The sequence below is a fragment of the Homo sapiens genome, chromosome 3, assembly GCF_000001405.40.
Source record: "Homo sapiens chromosome 3, GRCh38.p14 Primary Assembly".
In the NCBI taxonomy this organism is placed as follows: Eukaryota; Metazoa; Chordata; class Mammalia; order Primates; family Hominidae; genus Homo; species Homo sapiens.
The window spans coordinates 33137001-33149538 of NC_000003.12; the positions used below are offsets into that span (position 1 = coordinate 33137001).

At 45.3% G+C, this 12538-nt stretch overlaps 1 protein-coding gene across 4 annotated transcripts in view; it reads left to right on the plus strand.

The window, feature by feature from the left end:
- Positions 1 to 10773, plus strand: part of CRTAP (cartilage associated protein) — a 33760-nt gene extending 22987 nt beyond the window's left edge. For 3 of the 4 annotated variants that reach the window (NM_001393363.1, NM_001393364.1, NM_001393365.1), the window contains exon 6: positions 5395 to 8030. In NM_001393363.1, the coding sequence (NP_001380292.1) occupies positions 5395 to 5448 (54 nt within the window). In that variant the 3' untranslated portion in view covers positions 5449 to 8030. Of the gene's footprint in view, positions 1 to 5394 lie in introns of all 4 variants that reach the window. The other variant, NM_006371.5, reaches the window with a different exon arrangement.

A 12538-nucleotide genomic window follows, 5' to 3' on the forward strand; every position in this document is an offset into this window, starting at 1 on the left:
TTTACATTCCCATCAGCAGTGTATGAGAGTTCCAACTTTGCAATATCTTCAACAAAACTTAATATTGTCTTTTTTTTTTAATAGCCATGCTAGTGGATGCAAGTAGTATTTCATTGTGGTTCTGACTTCCACTTTCTGTTGTTTTTCTTTTCTTTTTGAGACAGAGTTTTGCTCTTGTTGCCCAGGCTGGAGTGCAATGGTGCGATCTCGGCTCACTGCAACCTCCGCCTCCCAGGTTCAAGTGATTCCCTGCCTCAGCCATCCTAGTAGCTGGGATTACAGGCGCGCACCACCACACCCAGCTAATTTTTTGTATTGTTAGTTGAGATGGAGTTTCACTATGTTGGCCAGGCTGGTCTCAAACTCCTGACCTCAGGCGATCCACCCGCCTCAGCCTCCCAAAATGCTGGGATTACAGGCGTGAGCTACTGCACCCAGCTTGACTTGCACCTTCTTAGTGACTATGTTGAGCATCCCTTCATGATTGGCCATTTGTATATCTTTGAAGAAATGTCTATTCAAATCTTTTGTCCACTTTAAAATTGTTACTTATCTTTTTATTATTGTGTTGTAGAAGTTCTTTAGATATTCTAGTTATAAGTTCCTTATCAGATATATGAATTGTAGATATTTTCTCACAATTTGTGGGTTGTCTTTTCAGTTGCTAAATGGTGTCTTGAAGCACAAGTTTTCAAATTTGATGAAATTCAATTTATCTGTTCTTTCTTTTGTTGCTTTTGTGTTGTGTGTCATATCTAAGAAACCATTGCCTAATCCAAGGTCACAAAGATTTACTCCTGATTTTTACTCCTACGATTTTTGTAATTTTAACTCCTGCATTTAAATTTACAACCCATTTGAGTTAATTTTATGTGTGATATTAGGAAGAGGTCTAGTTTCATTCTCTTGCATGTGAATAGCCAGTTGTTACAGCACTATTTGTTGAAAAGACTTTTTCACCATTGAATTGTCTTGGTACCCTTTGAAAGAAATCAGTTGACCATAAATGTGAGAGTTAATTTTCCAGACTCTCAGTCTATACCACTCATCTTGATTTCTATCCTTAAAGTTAGTACTACACTGTCTTCATTAATATAGCTTTTTTTTTTTAAATTACGTGGACTTTCAACCAAGATTAGATTACTGTAGCTTTATACTATATTTTGAAATTTGAATTGTGAGTCCTCCAACGTTGTTCTTCTTTTCCAAGATGATTTTGGCTATTTTGGGTCCTGTACATTTCCATATGAATTATAGGTTTAGCTTTTCAGTTTTTGCAAAAGGCAGCTGGGATTTTTTTATAGGAATTCCACTGAACACATAAATCTCTTTGGGGAGTATTGGCTTCTTAATATTGTCTTCTAATCCATGAACATGAGAAGTCTTTCCACTTATTTGGATTTTTTAAAAATTTATTTCACAGTGTTTTCTTATTTTATTATTCCTAAACATTCTATTCTTTTTTAAAAAATTAAAATAAATTCTTTCCAACCCCTAGTATTCAAGCATTTTATTCTTTTTGATGCTATTATAAATGAAATTGTTTTCTTATTTTCACTTTTGGGCATATTCTAAAAGAATAGAAATACAATAGATTTTGTGTATTGATTCTGCAAACTTGCTGAACTTATTTATTAGTTTGTATGTGTATGTGTATTATTTTTCTTGCGTAATTGTTCTAGTTAAAACTTCTAGTACTATGTTGAATAGAAGCAGAGAGAGTGGGCCTGGCACAGGGGCTCATTCCTCTAATCCCAGCACTTTGGGAGGCTGAGGCAGGAGGATCACTTGAACCCAGGAGTTTGAGACCAGCCTGGGCAACATAGCAAGACCCCATCTCTACAAAAAATAAAAAAATTAGGCTGGGTGTGGTGGCTCACACCTGTAATCCCAGCACTTTGGGAGGCTGAGGTGGGCAGATCACCTGAGGTCGGGAGTTTGAGACCAGCCTGGCCAATCGGTCGAAATCTTGCTTTACTAAAAATACAAAAAAATTAGCTGGGCGTGGTGGCACATGCCTGTAATCCCAGCTACTCAGGAGGCTGAGGCAAGAGAATCGCTTGTACCCAGGAGGTGGAGGTTGCAGTGAGCCGAGATCACACCACTGTACTGTAGCCTGGGTGGCACAGTGAGACACTGTCTAAAAAAAAAAATTAGCTAAGTATGATGGTGCACATCTGTAATCCTAGCTACTCAGGAGGCTAAAGTGGGAGGATTGCTGGAGCTCAGGAGTGGGAGGGTACAGTGAACCATAAGCATGCCACTGCACACTAGGCTAGGTGACAGAGCAAGACCCTGTCTCTCTGGAAAAAAAAAGAAGTGGAGAGAGTGAACATCCTTGTCTTGTTCCCAGTCTTAAAAGGAAAAAGCATACAGTCGTCTTTCAGCATTAAATGTGAAAGTACGTTATTAGCTGGGGGTTTTTTGTAGGTGCCCTTTATTAGGTTGAGGAAGTTCTATTTTTAATTCGTTGAATTTTTTTTTTTTTTTTTTGAGACGGAGTTTCACTCTTGTTGCCTAGGCTGGAGTGCAGTGGTGTGATCTCTGCTCACTGCAACCTCCGCCTCCCAGGTTCAAGTGATTCTCCTGCCTCGCCCTCCCAAGTAGCTGGAATTACAGGCATGTGCCACCACACCCGGGTAATTTTTCTGTATTTAGTAGAGACGGGGGTTTCACCATGTTGGCCAGTCTGGTCTCGAACTCCTGACCTCAGGTGATCAACTTGCCTTGGCCTCCCAAAGTGCTGGGATTACAGGCGTGAGCCACCGCACCCGGCCTGAATGTTTTTATCATGAATTTGTGTTGAATTTTGTCAAATGCTTTTTCTGCATCTATTGAGATGGTCACATGATTTTTGTTTCCCTTGTTAATATTCATTATAAAAATGACTTTTTTGTGACTAATATTACATGATATAGATAATTTTAAGAAATATAGCCTTTTTGTAGGCATTTAGTTTGCTTCCAACTTTTTGCTTTTACAAATAGCATAGCAGGGACTAAATTGTTTACTTCTTCTCTAATCATTTCCTTAGAAAAAATTCCCAGTGGTGAAATTCCTGGCCTAAGGCTGTGAACATTTTCAAGACTTCTGATGTACAAGAACAACATATATAGAAAGCAAATCATAGATACTAGAACACGAAGAGATTTTTCACATGATTCAGTAAAGCTCTCTCATGTCACAGATAAGGAAACAAACTCAGAAAGGCAGAGTGGCTTGCTCATAGTCACACAGAGGGTTAGTAATCATCTAATGAACACGCCAAGCTTATTGCAGGCTTTAAAATTCCTAGGATTCTTGGATTTGGCACTTTCAAGATAAAAGGACTTTGTTGAAGGTTCTGGAGTAGTTTGCTTATTAATTGAGGCTTTAGAATTGTGGAAGAACTAATCCATCTCTAAAGAATGAACCATTTTCTTACTATATACCAAATTATGGCAAGTAATACTTTGAAATGAAAATATAACCAAAATCATCAAATTCTTAGTTAGTCCTTCCATTTTCCAAAGGACATAATACTCCTTTGAAACAAAGCATCAGTACACTTTAGCTGCTGATATGTGTGGCATTCTTCCTTATTATCTTTCTGGTGTTGAAATGTGTATAAGCACTCCTGAAAGTTTACGCACTGGTTCAGAATTTTGCAGAGGTTTATTACAGTTTCAGAAACTTTTTAAAACAGGCTGAAACAGATGCTTCAGGTTTCAAGTTCTGATGGTTGTTTGCTTCAGGGAAGTCCAAAAGAAATAGAATATAATTTGTTGGAAGGATGTATTGAGGGAGTGCTCTCAGGTAGGAACGGAATGAGGGTCAGGGGAAGGAGCTCAACAAATACGTGGTCTCAGCTGGAGTCAAGCTTCGCCTGCTCCCATGGGGGACTCTGGAGCATGAATTGCACCACAGAGTTGTTCTTGCCTTTTGTAGTCCCCCTTATCAGTCTGTCATTCGTTCTTCGTTGCCAGGAAGGGCTGGTGTGTAACCTCCCTGTCAAGACTGCTGTTTTTTTTTGTTTTTGTTTTTGTTTTTGGCCAAAGGCAATTGCCCAGAGAAGGGGCAGCTGCTAGCCATTAGCAAGCAGCCCTCACAGGAGTTGGGGATGAGTGCACTGGGAAGGAGATCTGAGTGAGGCCCCAACAGTATTCACTACAACAGCCATGCAGGGGATGCATTTCTTTCGTCTGTGCTGCCTCGGGCACTTATTACTAGTGAGCTAAAAGCAAACAATACCATCATCCCGCAAGTCACAACAGACACACAGCAGGATATAGTAACTCCCTAAGCAGAAGTCATAGCTATACACATAATCCCTCTACTATGCTGTGTTTTCCTTTTGGGGTCTAGAAAGCAACTGAAAAACAATTTTTCCAAGCTGTAGTGTCTACAGTTTGAGTTTCTAATCTCAGGCATGACATAGTAGAAGTATTTGATGATAATACTAAGACCCCCCATTTGTGTCTCATGTACTTGATAGGTTTTCCAGTTATTCCCAAATGCTGCAAGATTTTTATAAATTTCTCTGTGTTAAAACATCAAAAGGAGCCAACAGGCTCTTGGCCTGGGATGGTGAGCTCAGTGAAGGAGGTCGAGTTTTAGCAGGGTTGGTGGGGCCAGTCTGTGTTGACTCTTATGGAAGGGGCCTCAGCCTTGGTCATTCACTCATTCTCTGCAGAAAAGAGAATGGGTGTCATCAGCTGGTGGTCCAGGAGGGTTATAGAAGAGAAGTCAATGTGGAGAAAGAAATTGGGAAGGGTGCTGGGCTGCTTCAAGTTGAAGTATAAGGCTGATTGCAGAAGGAGGGAGCAGGTGAGCTCCTGGTACCGACACTGGGCAAGTGGATCCCACTATCCCTGTGTGTCTCTCCTGTAAGAGGAGTGATTGCTTCAGTCACACCAGCAGTATGTATGCAAGCACTCAATCATTCATCCTTCAACACATGTATTGAGCACCTTCTGTGTGCTGGACTCTGGGGAAGAAAAATCAACCCAGTCCCCTGGTCCTTGAGAAGTTTGGGTTCTGGTGGTCAAGGCAGAAAGGGAACAGATAGAAAATGTTCCTGTGGGAGACCTGCACACATGAGAGGGGAGGAAGGGGAGTAGGCAGAGATGCACACAGGAGGGCCACTTAGTAGAGCTGTTCACAGGCTGGGCTGTCCGCCTCACACAGCATGTTGGCGGATCTCGCAGAGCACTTGATACCAAGTTCAAATGGAGTGGAAGCCGAGGTCCCCTCCACAGGGAGAAATCAGGTCCTCTGGGCCCCAGACCAGCAGAAAAAACCTGTTTCAGCCAAAGCAGACAGTGGTGATGGCCTCTCGGGATACTGTTTCTGCTCATCAGTACTTTTAAAAGTCCAATAGCCCATTTAATAAAGTTGTCCTGTTGTCTCTTACAGGGAGAAGTTGTGGAATATGTGGATGACCTCTTGGAACTGGAGGAGACCAGCTAGCCCACAGCAACCAAAGAGACTTCCTCTTGGCGTTCAGGAAACACAGATTCTTTGTCCTTTTCCCAACAGCCCAGGCTGTTGATACCTCAGAGCCTTCTCTTTACTCTCCAAAGTGAAAGGGAAGCCCCCGTCTCTCTAACTGCATGTCATCAGGGGTGAGCCTGCCTTTCCTATCTTCACACCTGCCACCTCATGTTCACACCTATCTTTCTCACCTTTTTTTTGAGATGGAGTCTCGCTCTCTTGCCCAGGCTGGAGTGCAATGGCACGTTCTCAGCTCACTGCAACCTCCGCCTCTTGGGTTCAAGCAATTCTGCTGCATCAGCCTCCCGAGTACCTGGGATTACAGGCATGTGCCACCACGCCCGGCTAATTTTGTATTTTTAGTAGAGACGGGGTTTTGCCATGTTGGCCAGGCTGGTCTCGAACTCTTGACTTCAGATGATCCATCTGCCTTGGCCTCCCACAGTGCTGGGATTACAGGCGTGAGCCACCATGCCCGGCCTCTTTCTCACCTTTACACCTGTCTTCTTATCCTCACATCTGTTTTCACACCTTCATCCCTGTCTTCCTCATGTTCACACTTGTCTTCCCCATGTTCATAGCTGCCTTTCTTACCATTTTGGTTTGAAGGGCAGTCTTCTCTGGCTTGTTTTTTTGTTTTTCCCAGAAAATCAGTATTATTTTTTAAATAAGAAAAACATTCCTAGAAGATGATAATTGTGAAAACCTCCTTTGGCTTATTTGCTTTTCCAGATTTTAGTCTCCTTTCTCCCCATCCGGGAAAGATGGTGGAAGACATAGGCTAAATTTCTCCAGCCTCACAATGGTCTTCACTTGGTCTGACTTGTACCAATTCTAGCACCCACTGAAAAACAAGTTGAGTAGAGAGTGTAGAGTGCAGAAATGTGGCTTTTGCCCCACTTTGCATCTCCAAAATTACAACGGTTGGCCGATCCCATTTGAGGACAATGCTTAGTTATAAGTCTCCGAGTTGGAAAAGGAAGAAAGCCAGAGCTGTCTAGTTTCATTCATTCTTTCAGTAAATATTTATTGAGTACCTACTGTGTGCTAGGCATTGACCTGGGAACTAGAGATACTTCACAGAATAACAGGGAAAGTTCCCTGTGCTCATGGAGCTTACATTCTACAGGGAGAAAGAGATAGCCAATACATAGGAATAAATATATACAAGGTATCATGTAGTGATAATTGCTGTGGAGAAAAATAAAGCAGGGGAGGGAGTAAGAAATCCTGGAGATGAGGCTGCAGTTTTAAATGGGGCCTCACTGGGAATGTGACGTTGAGCAGAGACGTTAGGGAAGTGGATCCTGGACAAGGCATTCCAGGCAGAGGAACAGGATGTGCACTGCCCCAAAGTGAGAACTTGCTCTACGTGGTCAGGAAAGAGCAGGGAGACCAAGCAGAGTCGTGGGCAGGGGTAGAATGGAAGGAGAGGCGGCTGGGGAGGACAGGTGGTGGAGGGCCTTGGCTTCTGCTAAGTGAGATGGGAACCACTGGAGGGTTTGAACAGAGGAGTGCCTTGATTGATTTATATTTTGCAAGGGTCATTCTAGCTGCCATATTGTGAAAAACTTTAGTGGACAAGGGCAGAAGGAAGAGGGAAGACCTGTTAGGAAGCTACTGCAAGGTTCCAGGCTTGGGCCTGGGCCACAGCAACAGCAGTGGTCAAATATCTAGATTTATTTTGAAAAGAGCCAATAGGATTTGCTGAGAGTTTGAATGTGGAGTGTAAGAGAAGGAAGAGTTAATGATGACATTAAGGTTTTTGGCCTGAATAGCAGGAAAGATGGAGTTACCAGTTACTGAAATAGGGAAGGATGGGCTGGGTAAGTATGGAATTTGGTGCAAAGCAGGCTGTCTGTGGTTGGAATGGGAGGTTCTGGCTGCAAATCAAAGTGGAGAGTTCTCTCAGGTCAGGTCTGCAGCAGAGCTCGAGACAGGGATCTGAATGCACTTGGTTTATTGTTGGGGGTGCTCTCAGAAGGAACCTGTGAAAGCCTTTATCAGTCATTTATTGGCTGTGAGAAGTTCTCTGGGAGTGTGGGTACATTTGAAGGCAAGTGACTTCAGTTGAGGGCAAGTCTCTGGAAAAGAGGCTGTAGGCATCTGGCAGCTACCATGCATGGTAGTGTGTTGGGGGTGGGGGTCCTGGGCACTGGCTGTGTGAAGGGATCTGGCAGGGCACCACAGCGCCCCCTACTGAACCATCAGCATGTCAGTGGCATTTAAAGCCATGCAGCTGGAGGGGCCACTGAGATTGTCTCTGAGTATTACTGAGAAGCAACAGAAAAGAGCCATGGATGGAGCCCTTGGGCTCTCTGGGAAATGGGAAATCAGCCAAAGGACTGAGAAGGAGTTACCTTAAGGTCAGAGAAAACCAAGAGAGTGTGGTGTTCTGGAAGCTGAGCTTTCTTTATTCAACCTCATTCCCTTCTCCAAATAAGCCACTTGTGTAGTTGGGCCCCTCCAGGGTTGAAGGCAAGAGGAGAAAGGCACAGCGTTTGGGAAACAAGACTTTTCCTGCAATAGCCTGGGAAGGAATAAAAGGATAGAGTGTTTGGGTTTTTGTGTAATGGTGGTTAATTGGGGTGGAACACTCACACGTTGTGCTTTTTCTGGGCTTCCCTTATCCCCCAGAACACTCTACCAACCTCGGGGAACTCGGGCACATCCTTCTGTTTCTCCTTCAGCTCTATCCTGCTTTCCTCATCCCTTCTGACACCACGTCCTCACTCACCTGCACAAGAATCCCTGCATCAGGTTCTCCTTTGAGGGTACCCACCCAGGACAGTCCCCTACCACTTCTGTCTTGGGCTGAAGTTGCCCACGTCCACAAAATCTGTACTCCCAGCGGGGGTGTTTGGCCCGAGGAGTCAGTGTTATTACTGGTGGATGCACCGTGTCCACAGCAGCCCCCAATCCCAGCGATGCGTCAGATCTTACGTGGCTTCCTGCTGGGGGAGATGGCCTTCACCCACGGGATGCCGGGTTCTCCTTTCTTTCCTCACCCCAACCTTTACTCCACCAGAGAAACTTCCTTTTGAACTCAGTGGGGAAGAGGGTGATGAGACAGGACTAGAAAGTAGTGGGGGACCCAGCGAGTGGACGCCCTGCTCCGGGATTCCTGAGTCTGTAAATAGTGTGCCCAGCAGCTGTGAACTCCCCTTATAGCCTCAGGCTGCAGTGTCCTTCCCAGCTGTGTGAGAAAATGAAAGCCGACGTCCACAGGGACCCAGGCAGGGTTGGGTGTTGTGACTCACTCCACCTCTGTGCCCTGCAGAGGTACTGTTGGGTCCTTGTCTTGTGAGCCTGGGGTGAGCTCTCTGTACATGTTGTTGTTCCACGTATGGGTTGACTTGGCATGCTGGGGGGTCCTCGTTCACTCTCTGAAGTTGGCCTCCTTTCACTGGGGATTGAAAAGCACCTCCACCCCTACCCTAGTGATGTCCCCTGAGGACCCGGGTGATAGTACAGTCAATATTGTCAGTACTTTGCTTTGATTGAAGGCTGTAGAGCTGAGTTACCAAAATTTCTATTTCAAAGGAAACCAAACCTTAAAAAAAAAAAACAAAAACTGGGCTGGGTCTTCCAAACCTACCATGAAACCCTGGTGTGCAGGCTGCACTCAATGACCTCAACCCAACACCTCCCTGAGTGTGCTTCTTGGAAGAGCCTAGAAGATTCCTGGATGGAGACCCCATTGGTTCAGCCTCAAGTCTGGCCCGTCTTCGAAAAAACAAACACATTTGTAAGCTTTGTGGGAGCTTCCAGGCCTGCTCTAAGATGCCTTGCTTGTCCTTTGACCCATCAGCATGGAGCTCAGTGGTTGCTGTTTGGTTCTGCAGGCTGGTGGGGAGGCCGCCCATCGTGGTGGGGCATCTGTCCAGCCCCATTGCCACTCAGGGCATCCAAACAGGAGGCACCCGCTGGGAAGGGTCTAAAGATACTCCTTGTGGCCACTGCTACTGTTCACACTTGACTTGTGGAGAAGCGAAGGGCTGAGGGGAGGTTTGTGTACACCCATGTATTTAAAAGTGACTGACTGACTGAAATGAGCACATACCGACATATGCAACATACTAATACCTTCCTGATTTTCGAGACTTTCTAATTACTACAACTAACCTGTTGTGCTCACCTCTGGAATTCAGAAAGAGAGCCACTGCGAGCACTGACCACAAGGGCTGCCTTAGGAAGGAAATGTGTGCTTTCAGGAGTTCTTATTAGGGGAATTTTAAGAGCACAAAAATTTTATTGAACCCACCTTAGTGACAAACAGAAAATGATTTGTTAGATTGTCAGTTGGAAGGGGTTTATTATGACTGCTGGTGAAATAAACAGTGACCAGTTTCTGCCAACATTTATGGAAATAACGTTTCTAGGTTTTAAATGTGAGCCGTAAACTGAAGCTACTTCAGTTAAAAAAAAAAAAATCAATACTTAAACTGTAGGGAAAAGGTGGATTGGTGCCAGAGAAAACATTATTTAATAGTGTCAGAACATGGAACTGCAACACAGTTTGTAGCAAGGCACTGAGAAAAACCCACAACTAATCCTTCATCGCAGCTGTCTGAACTCTTGATCATCTGCCATCCCCCAAACAGTGACTTCTTTTTTTCTGGTGACTCCAGGCCTGAATGACCTAGTGTGGAGAGTTTAAACTATGTACAAGGGAGGAAAGAAAAAAAGGAAAGGAACCTTAAGTAAGCCTCAGCCAAAGGTTTTATGCATTGGACTTCCTGTGCCTGCCCCCAGGGGCAAGACTGATCCCCATGCCTGTGCCCATGACATCTCCCTGAAAGAGGACACCATGACAGCCCGGCTTTGCCTTGACTGACCCACTGCTACCCCAGAAATAAGAATCAAGAGCAGCTATTGTTATCCTTAGAGTGTTTTCCGTCTAGGGCCGGCTCGTGAACAGCCACATATCCTTGCACCTGACACTGTCCCCACACAAATAGCTGGCTTTCGTTGCTTGTTGAATGAATGAGTGAGTTGGCTCTATATCCCCTTGGAGCTGGCCGGTAAGATATTAGTGCCTCATTTTACAAGAAGAGAATAGGAAGGAATTAAGCAATTTGGCCAACAGATACAAGATAGATTCCAGAGTTTTATCTCCCACTTTAGGGTGGCAGCCAGTAGGCCAAACTCCAAAGACCGTTGCTGATGTCTTTTTCTGCCTCCCCTCTTTGGGTTAGTGTGGTATGTACAAGCTCACTCTTGTTGAAAATTAGAAAATAGTTGAAAACAAAAGGTTTTTGTTTTTCTTTTTAAATCACATTAAATGTTTTACATTGCTTATTCTCTATTTTCTATTCTATCCACTGGACAGGGATGTCTTCACCACATTCTAGAAGCTATGTTGTAATGAGCTCTGTTTTCTCAGGTCTGTGAAATTTCTGACATTCATCTAACAAAGTAGAAACTTCAAGCCAGGGACTCCTGGATCTCATGCAAGAGGAGTGGTCCTTGCTCTCCATGAGCCAAGAGCTGGCTGAGGTCCTGTCAGGCAGTAGAGGCTCATGCCTCTCCCCCGGAAGATTGTCTTTCAGAGGAGATCTGGAATCCCACTAGGAAAAACATTTGGAATCTGTTTCAAACAGGGACACAAAGCATCTTCAGGCATGACTGTCAACAGCAACTATGCTCCATGCATGCCACTAAAGGGCAGGCAGGAGAAAGAAGAGTAGAAGGAAGCAGGTGGAAAGAGTGAGGAACCAGCCAGCACAAAAAGAAGTCCACGTTATGGAGAGTTGAAACAGCTGTCTGAAGAAGAGGTGGAGGACATGGAGGTCAGCCCAAGAATTCCAGAGGTTATGGTGAAAAAATCTGGACTGAGGAGAGGAGGTGTAGGGAGTAAGAGTTGAGTGTTGATGGATGTCTTAGGTCAGGATCCTTTGAAGCAAGGGAAGTGATGGGGTGCTCTCAAGAGAAGGGGTGTGAGAGAAGCAGGAAGGAGCCAGTAAGGATGTGTCTTCAGTTGGAGACTGACTTCAGCTTGATCTCATGGGAGCTCTGGAGCATGAATCATATCGGAGTTGGTCCCACCTTGAGGAAAGGAGGCCAGCCTTTTGCATTCCCATGACAGCTGGTCATTGGTTATAGGCTGCCCTAGCAGAGTATACCGTGGTCTAACTTCCTGGGTGAGGGAACTCTCAATAGGCCAAGGGCAATTCTCTGCGTTGGAAGGGTACACTTACGTGCTTATGAGCATTTTAACAGCCAACACTCAGGGCAGCTGGAAGACAGGTTCACCTACCTAGCAAAGGGGACCTGGGAGGGGCATCAACAATGTCCACAACATTGGAAGGCTTGGGAGGCATGGATCTGTGGTGGTCATGGATGTAAAAATGGACATAAGGCAGATGGGATTGGTGCTGATGGCGTCTGAGCTGGATTTGCTAGCTGCCCTTCCGTATCTCTTCCAACATGCCCCTCCAACATGCCCGGTGTCCCAGAAGCCTGACCTCTATGGTTCCATTGCCTGGGCTTCTTCACCCTCTGATTTCCAGTTGCCACTGGGACATGCCAACAAGAGATGGCAGGGTGAGACAAGGTCTGGTTCCTTAAAATCTTTGCTTCCTCCAGGCCACAGTTGGACACTGGCTGCATTCTCTTTGAGGCCAGAGCCCTTGTCCTGCAGGGCCTTTCCTATTACTGAGCTCTTGTTGGGTTCCATAACAGGTCCCCACCATCCCCTGATGGTTCCCCTAACTTTCCCCACACCTTTGTGAACAGTCCCTTCAGCTAACCCTCTAATTACTCCTTTGAGTGTCCTGTGAGTTAGGAGAAAGGGGATAATCAGTTCTCTCTTAGGCCAGTGCTTCTCAAGCTTTACCATTCATGCCCACCACCTGGGCATCCTGTTAGATGCAGATCCTGATTCAGCAGTCCTGGGGCAGGGCCTGAGATTCTGTACTTCTAACAAGCTCGCAGTGCCTGTGCTGCTGGGGCAGGAGCCACACTTTGAATAGCGAGGTCCCGGGTGTTTCGTTGCAGTGAAGTAAGTGGTCTCTGGTTGGGGCAAGGAAGAGGGAAGTAGGGGGGGGCGGGGCAAGGAAGAGGG